We start from the raw sequence: 16,526 nt of genomic DNA, 5'->3' as shown, positions 1-16,526 counted from the left end.
TCAACACAAGTGATCCTCTTGCCCCAGCCTCCCAAGTAGTTGAGGCTACAGGGGCGTACCACCACATGTGGCTAAGTCACATGTTTTGAGCCTACCCACTGTGCTCCATTTCTTAGCATTCTTAACCTACAAAACAGCTTTCACACTTGTTATCTCAGCATGACCTCATGATAAATCTGACACCAACCCTATGAAACAGAGAAAAAGGTACCACTGTCCTTTTTCTGATGAACCAATAGAGGCCTAGAAGAAAAAAGTGACTTATGACCCTAACAGTTAAAACCGCTATTTAAGCTGCTGTTGATGTTGTAGGTCAGAAAGTCTCGGCTGATGGTGCATCTCTGCTCTCCATGTCACAAGCTGGGCAGGAGAGGACTGGAGGACCCGCTTCCAAGAGGGCTTCCTCACCCTCATGTATGGTGCCTTAGTACTCCTTGGCCTCCATCACTCTACAGGTGCCACATCTTCCAGGCCTCTCCACGTGGCTTGGACTTTTTACTACACAGAGACCTAATGGTGAACACACTTCTAAGGCAGATGGCTTCCAAGAGGCAGGAACTGGAAGCTGCCAGGCCAGCAAAAAGCTATGTCTGAACTGACCCAGAGTCATTTTTTCTGTGCCCTCTTTATTAAAGTAGTCACAAGGCCTGCTTGGGTCAAAGGGATGGACACTCTCCACTTCCTGATAAGGTAAAGTCAGGCTGAGAGATTATTCTGGTTACCTTTGTTCCATGTCCAGACTTTGATTTCCAAAATCCCATTTTCTAGTGCTTCCCGACAAATGACTTTGTTTTTTTTAATACTGGGGTCTTGCTCTGTCATCCAGACTGAATTGCGGTGGCTCACACCTATAATCCCAGCACTTTGGGAGGCTGAGGTGGGTGAATCACCTGGGGTCAGGAGTTTGAGACCAGCCTGGTCAACATGGCGAAACCTGTCATCATAGTTCACTACAGCCTCGATCTCCTGGGCTCAAGTGGTCCTCCAGCCTCTGCCCCCTGAGTAGTTGGGACTACAGGTGTGTGCCACCACACCTGGCTAGTTTTTTTGTGTTGTAGAGACGAGGTCTTGCTATGTTGCCCAGCTGGTCTCCAACTCTTGGCCTCAAGCAATCCTTCCACCTTGGCCTCCCAAACTGCTGGAATTGCAGGCATGAGCCACCACACCTGGCCAGATAACACTTCTTGTTTATGTACCAAATGTAAATGATGCACATATATTTACCTTAGCAGAACATAAGTGCTTCAGTCATCCCTTGTCTAAGATTTTCCCCAAGAAAACAATTCAAATTTAACCCAATTTTTGGCAATTATATATTCACAAGTAGATGGTAAATTTTTGTAAGCCAATAAAAGACACATCCAGAATCAGCTCTTCTGAAATTAGTAGCGATTTTAGAAATATGTTTGCAAATGAAATGATCAATTCTAACAAAATCGGAAAAGGGATGTTGAATCTACCTAAGAAAATTAACTGGCCGGGCGTGGTGGCTCACACCTATAATCCCAGCACTTTGGGAGGCCAAGGCAGGTGGATCACGAGGTTAGAGATTGAGACCATCCTGGCTAACATGGTGAAACCCCATCTCTACTAAAAATACAAAAAATTAGCCAGGCGTGGTGGCAGGTGCCTGTAATCCCAGCTGCTCAGGAGGCTGAGGCAGGAGAATGGTGTGAACTCAGGAGGCGGAGCTTGCAGTGAGCCGAGATTGCGCCACTGCACTCCAGCCTGGGAGACAGAGCGAGACTCTGTCTCAAAAAAAAAAAAAAAAATGAAAGAAAATTAACTCTGGATACTTGACAATCACATTATCAGCATCATTTGCATGTAAACATTCTACTCTTATCAAAGATTCTTATCTAGTCATTAAAGTAGGCCTTGTACTTGGCTAAATGCTTGTCATAATTTCACAATTTTCACTCACTAGGGCTGGCCACCTCCAAGATATTCCAATTAAGAGTTTATTACTTGGGCTGGGCACGGTGGCTCATGCCTGAAATCCTAGCACTTTGGGAGGCCGAGGTGGGTGGATCACAAGGTCAGGAGTTCGAGACCAGCCTGGCCAACATAGTGAAACCCCCTCTCTACTAAAAATACAAAAAATTAGCCAGATGTGGTGGCGGGTGCCTGTAATCCCAGCTACTTGGGATGCTGAGGCAGGAGAATTGCTTGAACCCAGCAGGCAGAGGTTGCAGTGAGCTGAGATCACGCCATTGCACTCCAGCCCGGGTGACAGTGCGAGATTCTGTCTCAAAAAAAAAGAGTTTATTACTCTGTCACACTTTCAGGACGCTGAGTAGACATATGGTTAAATTCTGTCTAAAGGACATATCCCAGGCTATAGCTGCTCTGCCTCTGTGTGATTATTATTTTTTTGCCTTGTGTTTCTAATGAAAATAATCTATTGATCCTGTTCAAAAGAGGAACACACAGCTCCAAATCATTACCTCCTGGCAGTAACTGATTTTTGAGTCCTATCTGCTTCACCACACTCCTTTAATGGCAGTTGAATAAATATCTAAAATGCAGACTTTTCAGTCCTTTCTGAAGGATAGTGTTTTCCAAGAGGGGGGCAAAAATCAATAAAACTAACAAATATTTGCTGCGCATCAAACTATGTGTTCAGTGCCAAGCTAGACACCCTCAGGGTCTTTGTCCTTAAGGAGGTTACACACAGCAGTGGAAACAAGATAAGGTCAAAAGGGTAATTCTGAACTGCCTGAAAGGGACCTCTAACCTGCCATTTGACCTTCCCTTGCTCCTGCTCAAATAACAGCTCAGGGGACCAGGGAGGGACATGTGACCAAAGCCAGCCAGTGTAAGCCATTGCTTGTGTGTGGCCCGGCTCAGGGAGACAAACTGGTACAATCCAATTCTCACAAGAATTTGAGCTAAAAGGCATAGAAGTTTTTGCCAACAGGGGTGGTGAGCACTAGAGCTGAAAGGTCGTATCGATTTAGGGAAGAGGGCAAACTATTTTCAACAACAAAAAGAGGGCTAATCTGCACAAAGAGATGAATTGCACAAACCCACAGCACACAATCAGAAAGAGAAAGAGAAGACAGGCTTCAGTTTGTCATGCCCAGACACATTCCCCAGAGACTGCTTGTATTTTGATTTCTTTCCTCGGATTCTGTGAGATCTCTTTACAAGGCAACAGCTCCTTTTTGGGCCTGAAATGATTTGACTATGTTCTGTGCCTTAGAACCCAAAAGCCCAAAAGAATCTCATGCACTTATGTACTAAATGCTGCATTGGCCGGGCGCGGTGGCTCACACCTGTAATCTCAGCACTTTGGGAGGCCAACATGGGTGAATCACCTGAGGCCAGGAGTTCGAGACCAGCTGGTCAACATGACAAAACCCTGTATCTACTAAAAATACAAACACTAGCCAGGCGTGGTGGCAGGCACCTGTAATCCCAGCTACTTGGGAGGTTGAGGCAGGAGAGTCGCTTGAACCAAGTAGGTGGAGGTTGCAGTGAGCCTAGATTGCGCCATTGCACTCCAGCCTGGACAACAAGAGTGAAACTCTATCTCAAAATAAATAAATAAATGTCACATGGGCAGTGTTGACAATTCTTGCAACCAGTGTTCACTTGACACAGTGCTGGCTTTGGGCTGCAGTTGAGGACTAGAATTTTAAAACTGAGCACAACTCGAAATGATGCAGATAATACTGGCTCTTTCTAAGCCCAGAGACCTTTTAGTTGTTGGCAAATAGCATATAACAAAAACTCCTAACAAAAACTGCTAAATTGTCTTAGAATAAAGAACTGGTTTGCCAGGGGGCAGGGGTGAGCAGGAGACTTAATTGGGGCTACATACCTTTTTGTGTCTTTTGGAATTTTGTTAACATATGCATATTCAAAAAATAAATAAGCAATTTATTTTTTCACAGACAGCACACTTGGGCATGAACAAAACATGTAGCAATGCTACGTTTTCATGAAAACAACATCTCGCCCTAGAAAAACATTTTGTTATTTGACCTGGTTACTGGGTCTACCACGGTCTGGTTCAAAGGAATTTACTCAATCCTGCTGCCAGCTGCCCACCTTCCAGAACATTCCATTCCAGCCACTCTGGTCTGATAAAAAAAGTTGCCTTTTTCCTGTATTTTAAAAATAATAGTACTCTCTTGCAGATCTACCAATATAATAAGTCCATTTAGAGTCAATAAGTAAATATTTCAAGAAACTAAAAATCCAAAACAAACTTATACATAAAAAAAATTGTCTTCCGGACGGGCACGGTGGCTCACGCCTGTAATCCCAGCACTTTGGGAGGCCAAGGCAAGTGGATCACGAGGTCAGGAGTTCGAGACCATCCTGGCTAACACAGTGAAACTCCATCTCTACTAAAAATGCAAAAAAATTAGCCAGTCGTGGTGGCACGTGCCTGTGGTCCCAGCTACTCAGGAGGCTTAGGCAGGAGAATCGCTTGAACCTGGGAGGTGGAGGTTGCAGTGAGCCGAGATCACACCACTGCACTCCAGCCCAGGCAACAAAGGAAAAAAAAACTGTCTTCTACTTTCTTCACTCTGAGGTTTTGCTTTTGAGGTTCTACTCAGGAATGCTCTTCTCACCCCAATCCCTCGCCCCCATGTGTCTCACTCCTCCACCCCCTGGTGCTACCACCTGCTCTTCAGGCTGTGAAGAATTTTCCTCTTGAAGCCCTCCCAGATCCGACCAACCCATTTTTCTACCTCATCTATAGTTTGTTCAGGCCATTTGTCAATTTCTCATGTCTCTTCCAATCAGGCACTGTACACTCTATAACCCTAAAATAAATATTAGTTTTTTCTTGGCTTAAACCATTGTATTGAGTGGCTACTGACATTGTATTGCTGTATAATCTGTCACAGGTAGACCCTGCTTCCCTAGAGATCAGGGACTATGGCCTACTTCAAATTCCCTAACTGAATATAGAAGATTCCCAGTAAATATGAATTAATTGAAAACTGTATGCTAAAACCTTTTATTAGCGCACACACATAAAAAATCAGAAGATCTGGGCTGGGCGTGATGGCTCAGGCCTGTAATCCCAGCACATTGGGAGGTCGATGTGGGTAAATCACCTGAGGCCAGGAGTTGGAGACCAGCCAACATGGTGAAACCCCTGTCTCTACTAAAAATACAAAAATTAGCTAGGTATGGTGGCAGGTGTCTGTAATCCCAGCTACTTGGGAGGCTGAGACAGGAGAATCACTTGAACCCAGAAGGTGGAGGTTGCAGTGAGCCGAGATCACGCCACTGCACTCCACCCTGGGTGACAGTGAGATCCCATCTCGGAAACATAAAAAATAAAAATAAAAAAATCAGAAGACCCACGTTCCCAATTCACCCAGCTGCATACGTTGTTCACCGTGTTTCCATAATCTTCTCAAAGAGCTACTATAGTCAATTTCCAATTACTTGTGTCACTGGGGAACACAAATAGTCTGAAAAATGAAACCCACAAATAATCCGTACATTTAATTTTAGTGGATGCTTCCAGCCAGTATGAAAATTTCCCACTGTGAATGTCACTGTTGTTCCTGCGCCTCCTCTCTGGCAGGGGCAAACATTGCCAAAAAAGTCATCTTAGCAGGAAGAAAGGAAAACCAGGGTTCGAAGGATCTGGGGACTGGCTAATCACAGCTAATCAGGCTGCAAGTAATGCAGCTTGACCGTGAGTCACAGGAGGCATTGCCCAGTGCGGTGGCAAAGGACAGAGTGGATTTGTAGGACCCCACCCTGAATTCCAACTCATAACAGCACTCTGACCCCTTAGGTCACCAGCTATGTGTAACCCTCGGCTAAATCAGCCAACTGTGCTGCCATTTCTTCATTCTGGGCTCTGCAGCAAAGATGCATATGGAAAATAGTACAAGAGGCTGGGTGCAGTGGCTCACACATGTAATTCCAGCACTTTGGGAGGCCAAGGCAGGCAAATCACCTGAGGTCAGGAGTTTGAGAACAGCCTGGACAATATGGTGAAACTCTGTCTCTACTAAAAATACAAACATTAGCCGGGCATGGTGGCACACACCTGTAATCCCAGCTACTCGGGAGACAGAGGCACAAGAATCGCTTGAACCCAGGAGGTGGAAGTTGCAGTGAGCCAAGATCATGCCACTGTACTCCAGCCTGGGCAACAGAGCAAGACTCCATGTGCTAATTATACATATATATGTATATATGTATGTGTGTACTGATAGAAGATGTGTACATGTTATACATACATACAAAGCAAACACTGTGCCTTGGAAATATTAGATATGCTCAAAATGAAATGGGACTGATTTAAGCAGCATTCCATGGGGAAACTATCTATCAGAGCCTTGAATGCAAATGGCACTTGGGTCTACTCATTTCTGATGACTTTTAAAAATAACTAAAAGGCAGGGCTTGTTTTGTTTTTGTTTCTGTTTTTAGAGTTGGGTTCTCACTCTGTCACCCAGGCTGGAGTGCAGTGACTCTACCATAGCTCAGTACAATCTTGAACTACTGGGCTCAAAGTGATCCTCCCACTTCAGCCTCCCCAGTAGCTGGGACTACAGGCATGTGCCACCACGTCCAGCTAATTTATTTTTATTTTTATTTTTTGTAGAGATGGGATCATACTATGTTGCCCAGACTGGTCAACAGTCTCAAGTGATCTTCCCTCTTCAGCCTCCCAAAGTACTGGGATTACAGGCATGAGCCACTGCACTCAGCCATTTGTTTTTTTAAATCCAGGCTGCCAAGTTAATATGCTTTATATTTTAAACATATTACATATGTTTATAAGTTTAAACATATAACAACTAATTTATTTCCTCTAGTCACCTCTGAGTTGGGACTGTGTTAAATGTTGCCAACAACTTGCCTGAGGGCTGGCTCTATCCATAGAAGTGTTTGAGTGTTTGGCTCACCCAACGTGGTAGTCTCCAGTTCACCAGCACCTGCTCCCTGCCTACCTTTTTTTTTTTTTTCTTGAGACAGAGTTTCACTCTGTCACCCAGGCTGGAGTACAATGGTGTGAACTCAACTCACCGCAACCTCCACCTCCTGGGTTCAAGTGATTCTCCTGCCTCAGCCTCCCAAGTAACTGGGACTACAGGCATGCACCACCATGCCCGGCTAATTTTTTTGGATTTTTAGTAGAGACAGAATTTCACCATCTTGGCCAGGCTGGTCTCGAACCCCTGGCCTCAAGTCATCCGCCCACCTCAGCCTTCCAAAGTGCTGGGATTACAGGCAGGAGCCACCACACCCAGCCCTCCCCACCTACTTCTCCCAGGGCATGGAGGGCACATGTCAATTGTTCTCATCACTTGACACCTGACCTCCCTACCAATTTTCATTCTCTACCTGGCTTCTCTAGGCATTAACATCTCCATTCTGCAGCCTACTGTACTTTCTAAATTGTAGCAAAAATATCTCCCATCCCACAGTTCTTCTTACAATGGTACTTCGATACTCTTTCCATCAAGATATAGAGGTCTAACTTCCTTTCTCTTGCATTTGGACATGTCTATGGACTACAGTACAAGTGACACTATGTGACCTCCAAGGCTAGGGCAGTTTCCACCCAGTGAGGTGCTGGAGATTATACCAGCTCTTGAAAGCTAATTGTATACATCTCTTCCCAATTCTATGTTCAGTAGTTTGAAATTAGCCATGTTGGGATTATTTACTCCCTGGAAATTAGCAAACACTGCAAATTAGGGCTTTTTCTACCCCAGGAAGCCAATTGTTCAACATTGGCTAGCACTCTGCTTCACCTGCTTCTTTTGTGAGCTCACTCTCAGAACTAAGCCACCATGTTGTAAGGAAGCCTGAGCAGCTTGTGGAGAGGCCGAGAGGGAGGAAAACCAAGACCCCTGGCCCTCATCCCCCCCTGAGCTCCCAGCTCACTTCCAGAACCAACTTGCCAACCATATGAGAGAGCTGTCCTAAAGTAGATTCTCCAGCTCCCAGCTAATGCCACAAAGAGCAAAGACCAGCCTTCCCAAGGAACCCTGTCCAGTTGCAGATTCATGCAGAAAATTGCAAATTCATGAGAATCTGTTGAGGTTAGGGATGACTTGTTCAGCAGCAATAGTGACCAGAACATAGTTCCTGGTAGCTTGGAGTAGTTCAGCTCTGCCTTGCATAGGCCCTTTCACCTTTAATCCACCAGCTTTGCTCTTGTTTTCTGGTTCCACAATATTTCACATCCAACGCAAATTCAAGTGCACTTGGCCATTTCTTTGGATCAAGGCTGACATCCTCCCCTCCAATAATTCCAGGATCTCTATCCCTAGCTGCTCACAGTTCAGCACCCAGTGATTTGAGCTGGAGTTTGTCTGCTTCTGTTTTCCTGAATCTCTTGCTCCAGGTATTCCTGACTTGAAAGTGCACACTTCTGACAAAGCAGAAACCTAGAGAGTTCCACTCCTCTGTACCCACTGCTGTCGTTTGGAATGCTTTCTCTCTGGCTATTGCAAGGTACCTGACATTTTGGACAGAAAGAGGAAACATCCTTATTTAGCATTACCTGAAAAGTTTCCCTCTCTGTCATAAATTACTGAAGCTACCTTACTTCCCATAACTCACTTTCAGACATGACATCTGCCACAGTTTAAGTTTGTCCCCACCAAAACTCTTGTTGAAATTTGATCCCCAATGTGGCAGTGTTGGGGGGTGGGGCCTAGTGGGAGGTGTTTGTTTCCTGGGGGTGGGCTCCTCATGAATGTCTTTGTACGTTCTCCTGGTAGTGACTTCTCACTCTGGCAAGACCGGGTTAGTTCCCTCAAGTGCAGGTGGGTATAAAGCCAGGATGCCCCTTGCATTTTATCCCCTTGCACATGTCTGCTTTCCCTTTGACCTTCTCTGCCATGTTGTGATTCAGCACAGAATCCCATGCCAGAAGCCAGGGCCATGCCTTGAACTTACCAGCCTGCAGAACTAGGAGCTAAATAAACCTCTTTTCTTTATAAATTACCCAGTCTCAAGTATTCTGTTATGGCAACACAAAATGGACTAAGACACCACCTTATGTGGCAGAACATGATTTTCTACTCACTTGTTTCATTTGTACCCATGTGTGAGTAGCATGAATAAGATTCTGTCCTTGTCTTCAAGGATTACCATCTACTGTGTATATATGCACTGAGGGAACTGGGGAAGACTTCTCTCTCTCCATCTGGGTTTTAATTTTTGAATAAAAGTGCAGTTGACAGGGAAGAAGGAAATAAGGAAGGAAGGGAGGGAGGGAGGGAGGGGAAGGAGTGAGGGAAGGAGGGGAAGGAGTGAGGGAAGGAGGGGAAGGAGTGAGGGAAGGAGGGAGGGAGGGAAGGAGGGAGGGAGGGAAGGAGGGACGGAGGGAAGGAGGGAAGGAGGAAGAAAGAAGGGAGAGGGAAGGAGTGAGGGAAGGAGGGAGGGAGGGAAGGACAGAGGGAGGGAAGGAGGGAAGGAGGAAGAAAGAAGGGAGAGAGAAGGAAGGAAGAAAGGAAGGAAGGAAGAAGAAAGGGAAAGAAGGGAGAGAGAAGAGGAAGGAAGAAAGGAAGGAAGGAAGAAGAAAGGGAAAGAAGGGAGAGAGAGAAGGAAGGAAGTAAGGAAGGAAGGAAGAAGAAAGGGAAAGAAGGGAGAGAGAGAAGGAAGGAAGGAAAGTAGAGAAGGAAGGAAGGAAAGTAGAGAAGGAAGGAAGGAAGGAGGAAGGGGGAGGGAGGGAGGGAAGGAAATATTCATTGCTTCTAGGCAGAAGGAAAAATATGGATAGGTTTGGAAAAGAGCAAGAATTTGGATATATTTAGAGCAAAAGGTACACAGAGAGTTCAGAAGATGGCTTGGTGTCAGATTAAGTTTGACCTTTATTCTACGGGCAATGTAGTTACTGAAAATAAGACAAAATGACATGATCTGATCTGCATTTTTCTAAAAATAACTCTCTCAGAGGCAGATTGGAAAATGGCTCAAAAGGGAACTTAATTGCAGGAAAGGAGGACAATCTGAAGGCCATTGTTTGGCTAGAGGCATTGAGGACTAGAAATTAGGTGGTGACCATTGGAATGGAGGAGAGATGGGACTTGTGGGTTAAACATCAGAAGATTGGGGAGTGCTTGCATCTGGAGGCTGCAGGGAGGCTTGAAGGGATTGGACTGTATGGAGGAGGAAGAGGAGGAGCAGGAAGAGTTATGTAATGGTAGCAGAAGTAGCTTCAGCAGCAAACACATATATGACACTATATACCAAGCATTATTTTAAGGGCTTTACTATATCATTATTTAATTCTCACAGCAATCCTGTGAAGTATATTTTATTATTATTATTATCTCAATTTCACAGATGAAGAAACTGAGACACAGGGAGATGAAGTCACATACACGAAGTCACAGAGCTGGGATATTTAAATCGGGTTCTTAATGATTTCCCAGAACTGCCTCTCCAGGGAATTAACATGAGGCAAAGAATGCATAGGGTGGCAATCAGACTATGAAGCAGTGGACTTAGCTCCTAGAGTGGGTGCCATGAAGATGAGAAGGAAAGGCCTTTTGACAGAAGAAACAGAGCTGGGTAAGAGTAAGATCTGAGGGACTACCAACCTCTACTTCCTTTCCCACCTCAGCCTTCCTAGCTTTTCATGACCAATGGCCTCCAAAACTCCCAGATAAAGGTTGACACTCTTGTTGAGTGTCATGACACCTATCAGCAACCATAGTTCTGCTGCTCTGGGATCCTGGCATGATCGCAAACTTTGGACCCAGTGTCTCAGCCCCACGTCCTCCATTGATGCCAAGTATACCTGGAGTCAATAGTATGGGGAAGCCCCCAAGAACAGCTTCCTTTCCTTCTTCTCCCACTGACCCTGCTGTGGAGCCAGTTGACAGCCCTGTCCTTGGCTCCATCACACGCTCTGCCAAGCTGCGCACTGTGTCTCTGGGCTGGGCACCGTGGTTCATGACTATAATCCAAGCACTTTGGGAGGCCAAGGTGGGAGGCTTGCTTGAGTCCAAGATGAGCTTGGGCAACACAGCAAGATCCCATCTCTACAACAAATAAAAAATAATTAGCCAAGGGGTGGTTCCAAGATGGCTGAATAGGAACAGCTCCAGTCTACAGCTCCCCACATGAGTGACACAGAAGACGGGTGATTTCTGCATTTCCAACTGAGGTACCAGGTTCATCTCACTGGGGCTCGTCGGACAGTGGGGACAGGACAGTGGATGCAGCCCACCAAGTGTGAGCCAAAGCAGGGCGAGACATCACCTCACCTGGGAAGTGCAAGGGGTCAGGGAATTCCCTTTCCTAGCCAAGGGAAGGGGTGACAGATGGCACCTGGAAAATCGGGTCACTACCACCCTAATACTGCACTTTTCCAACAGTCTTAGCAAACGGCACACCAGGAAATTATATCCCTCGCCTTCCTCAGAGGGTCCCACCCCCACGGAGCCTCACTCATTGCTAGCACAGCAGGCTGAGATCAAACTACAAGGTGACAGCGAGGCTAGGGGAGGGGAGCCCACTGCTGCTAAGGCTTGAGTAGGTACACAAAGCAGCCGGGAAGCTCGAACTGGGTGGAGCCCAACACAGCTCAAGGAGGCCTGCCTGCCTCTGTAGACTCCACCTCTGGGGGCAGGGCATAGCTGAACAAAATGCAGCAGAAACCTCTGCAGACTTAAATGTCCCTGTCTGACAGCTTTGAAGAGAGTAGTGGTTCTCCCAGCACGGAGTTTGAGATCTGAGAATGGACAGACTGCCTCCTCAAGTGGGTCCCTGACCCCTAAGTAGCCTAACTGGGAGGCACCCCCCAGTAGGGGCAGACTGACACCTCACACGGCCGGGTACCCCTCTGAGATAAAGCTTCCAGAGGAACGATCAGGCAGCAACATTTGCTGTTCAGCAATATTCGCTGTTCTGCAGCCTCCACTGCTGATACCCAGGCAAATAGGGTCTGGAGTGGACCTCCAGCAAACTCCAACAGACCTGCAGCTGAGGGTCCTGACTGTTAGAAGGAAAACTAACAAGCAGAAAGGACACACACACCAAAACCCCATCTGTACGTCACCATCATCAGAGACCAAAGGTAGATTAAACCACAAAGATAGGGAGAAAACAGAGCAGAAAAGCTGAAAAATTTAAAAATCAGAGCACCTCTCCCCCTCCAAAGGAACACAGCTCCTCGCCAGCAATGGAACAAAGGTGGATGGAGAATCACTTTGATGGGTTGAGAGAAGAAGGCTTCAGACGATCAAACTTCTCCGAGCTAAAGGAGGAAGTTCGAACCCAACACAAAGAAGCTAAAAACCTTGAAAAAAGATTAGACAAATGGCTAACTAGAATAACCAATGTAGAGAAGTCCTTAAATGATCTGATGGAGCTGAAAACCATGGCACAAGAACTACGTGATGAATGCACAAGCTTCAGTAGCTGATTTGAACAACTGGAAGAAAGGGTAGCAGTGATTGAAGATCAAATGAATGAAATGAAGCGAGAAGAGAAGTTTAGAGAAAAAAGAGTAAAAAGAAATGAACAAAGCCTCCAAGAAATATGGGACTATGTGAAAAGACCAAATCTACGTCTGATTGCTGTACCTGAAAGTGACGGGGAGAATGGAACCAAGTTGGAAAACACTCTGCAGGATATTATCCAGGAGAACTTCCCCAATCTAGCAAGGCAGGCCAACATTCAAATTCAGAAAATACAGAGAATGTCACAAAGATACTCCTCGAGAAGAGCAACTCCCAGACACATAATTGTCAGATTCACCAAAGTTGAAATGAAGGAAAAAATGTTAAGGGCAGCTAGAGGGAAAGGTCGGGTTACCCACAAAGGGAAGCCCATCAGACTAACAGCTGATCTCTCAGCAGAAACTCTACAAGCCAGAAGAGAGTGGGGGCCAATATTCAACATTCTTACAGAAAAGAATTTTCAACCCAGAATTTCATATCCAGCCAAACTAAGCTTCATAAGTGAAGGAGAAATAAAATCCTTTATAGACAGGCAAATGCTGAGAGATTTTGTCACCACCAGGCCTGCCCTAAAAGAGCTCCTGAAGGAAGCACTAAACATGGAAAGGAACAACCAGTACCAGCCACTGCAAAAACATGCCAAATTGTAAAGACCATCGAGGCTGGGAAGAAACTGCATCAACTAACGAGCAAAATAACCAGCTAACATCATAATGACAGGATCAAATTCACACATAACACTATTAACCTGAAATGTAAATGGACTAAATTCTCCAATTAAAAGACACAGACTGGCAAATTGGATAAAGAGTCAAGACCCATCAGTGTGCTGTATTCAGGAGACCCATCTCATGTGCAGAGACATACATAGGCTCAAAATAAAGGAATGGAGGAAGATCTACCAAGCAAATGGAAAACAAAAAAAGGCAAGGGTTGCAATCCTAGTCTCTGATAAAACAGATTTTAAACCAACAAAGATCAAAAGAGACAAAGAAGGCCATTACATAATGGTAAAGGGATCAATTCAACAAGAAGGGCTAACTATTCTAAATATATATGCACCCAATACAGGAGCACCCAGATTCATGAAGCAAATCCTTAGAGATCTACAAAAAGATTTAGACTCCCACACAGTAATAATGGGAGACTTTACACCCAACTATCAACATTACACAGATCATGAGACAGAAAGTTAACAAGGATATCCAGGAATTGAACTCAGCTCTGCACCAAGCGGACCTAATAGACATCTACAGAACTCTCCACCCCAAATCAACAGAATATACATTCTTCTCAGCACCACACCACACTTATTCCAAAATTGACCACATAGTTGGAAGTAAAGCACTCCTCAGCAAATGTAAAAGAACAGAAATTATAACAAACTGTCTCTCAGACCACAGTGCAATCAAACTAGAACCCAGATTAAGAAACTCACTCAAAACCGCTCAACTACATGGAAACTGAACAACCTGCTCCTGAATGACTACTGGATACATAACGAAATGAAGGCAGAAATAAAGATGTTCTTTGAAACCAATAAGAACGAAGACACAACACACCAGAATCTCTGGGACACATTTAAAGTAGTGTGTAGAGGAAAATTTATAGCACTAAATGCCCACAAGAGAAAGCAGGAAAGATCTAAAACTGACACCCTAACATCACAATTAAAAGAACTAGAGAAGCAAGAGCAAACACATTCAAAAGCTAGCAGAAGGCAAGAAATAACTAAGATCAGAGCACAACTGAAGGAGACAGAGACACAAAAAACTCTTCAAAAAATAAATGAATCCAGTAGCTGGTTTTTTGGAAAGATCAACAAAACTGATAGACCACTAGCAATACTAATAAAGAAGAAAAGAGAGAAGAATCAAATAAAGGGGATATCACCACTGATCCCACAGAAATACAAACTACCATCAGAGACTACTATAAACACCTCTATGCAAATAAACTAGAAAATCTACAAGAAATGAATAAATTCCTGGAACACACACCCTCCCAAGACTAAACCAGGAAGAAGTTAAGTCTCTGAATAGGCCAATAACAGGCTCTGAAATTGAGGCAATAATTAATAGCTTACCAACCAAAAAAGTCCAGGACCAGATGGATTCACAGCTGAATTCTACCAGAGGTACAAGGAGGAGCTGGTACCATTCCTTCTGAAACTATTCCAATCAATAGAAAAACTATTCCAATCAATAGAAAAACTCCCTAACTCATTTTATGAGGCCAGGATCATCCTGATACCAAAGCCTGGCAGAGACACAACCAAAAAAGAGAATTTTAGACCAATATCCCTGATGAACATCGATGCAAAAATCCTCATTAAAATACTGGCAAACCGAATCCAGCAGCACATCAAAAAGCTTATCCACCACAGTCAAGTGGGCTTCATCCCTGGGATGCAAGGCTGGTTCAACATATGCAAATCAATAAATGTAATCCAGCATATAAACAGAACCAATGACAAAAACCATATAATTGTCTCAATAGATGCAGAAAAATCCTTTGACAAAATTCAACAACCTTCATGCTAAAAAACTCTCAATAAATTAGGTATTGATGGGACATATCTCAAAATAATGAGAGCTATCTATGACAAACCCACAGCCAATATCATACTGAATGGGCAAAAACTGGAAGCATTCCCTTTGAAAACTGGCACAAGACAGGGATGCCCTCTCTCACCACTCCTATTCAACATAGTGTTGGAAATTCTGGCCAGGGCAATCAGGCAGGAGAAGGAAATAAAGGATATTCAATTAGGAAAAGATGAAGTCAAATTGTCCCTGTTTGCAGATGACATGATTGTATATCTAGAAAACCCCATCATCTCAGCCCAAAATCTCCTTAAGCTGATAGGCAACTTCAGCAAAGTCTCAGGATACAAAATCAATGTGCAAAAATCACAAGCATTCTTATACACCAATAACAGACAAACAGAGAGCCAAATAATGAGTGAACTCCCATTCACAATTGCTTCAAAGAGAATAAAATACCTAGGAATCCAACTTACAAGGGACATGAAGGACCTCTTCAAGGAGAACTACAAACCACTGCTCAATGAAATAAAAGAGGATACAAACAAATGGAAGAACATTCCATGCTCATGGGTAGGAAGAATCAATATCGTGAAAATGGCCATACTGCCCAAGGTAATTTATAGATTCAATGCCATCCCCATAAGCTACGAATGACTTTCTTCACAGAATTGGAAAAAACTACTTTAAAGTTCATATAGAACCAAAACAGGGCCCACGTTGCCAAGACAATCCTAAGCCAAAAGAACAAATCTGGAGGCATCACGCTACCCGACTTCAAACTATACTACAAGGCTACAGTAACCAAAACAACATGGTACTGGTACCAAAACAGAGATATAGACCAATGGAACAGAACAGAGCCCTCAGAAATAATACCACACATCTACAACCATCTGATCTTTGACAAACCTGACAAAAACAAGAAATGGGGAAAGGATTCCCTATTTAATAAATGGGGCTGGGGAAACTGGCTAGCCATATGTAGAAAGCTGAAACTGAATCCCTTCCTTACACCTTATACAAAAATTAATTCAAGATGGATTAAAGACTTAAATGTTAGGCCTAAAACCATAAAAACCCTAGAATAAAACCTAGGCAATACCATTCAGGACATAGGCATGGGCAAGGACTTCATGACTAAAACACCAAAAGCAATGGCAACAAAAGCCAAAATAGACAAATGGGATCTAATTAAACTAAAGAGCTTCTGCACAGCAGAAGAAACTACCATCAGAGTGAACAGGCAACCTACAGAAGGGGAGAAAATTTTTGCAATCTACTCATCTGACAAATGGCTAATATCCAGAATCTACAATGAACTCAAACAAATTTACAAGAAAAAAAACAAACAACCCCATCAAAAAGTGGGTGAAGGATGTGAACAGACACTTCTCAAAAGAAGACATTTATGCAGCCAACAGATACATGAAAAAATGCTCATCACCACTGACCATCAGAGAAATGCAAATCAAAACCACAATGAGATACCATCTCACACCAGTTAGAATGGCGATCATTAAAAAGTCAGGAAACAACAGGTGCTGGAGAAGATGTGGAGAAA

This window comes from Homo sapiens, chromosome 7 (assembly GCF_000001405.40).
Source record: "Homo sapiens chromosome 7, GRCh38.p14 Primary Assembly".
NCBI lineage: Eukaryota > Metazoa > Chordata > Mammalia > Primates > Hominidae > Homo > Homo sapiens.
Note: the sequence above shows the minus strand (reverse complement) of the source record.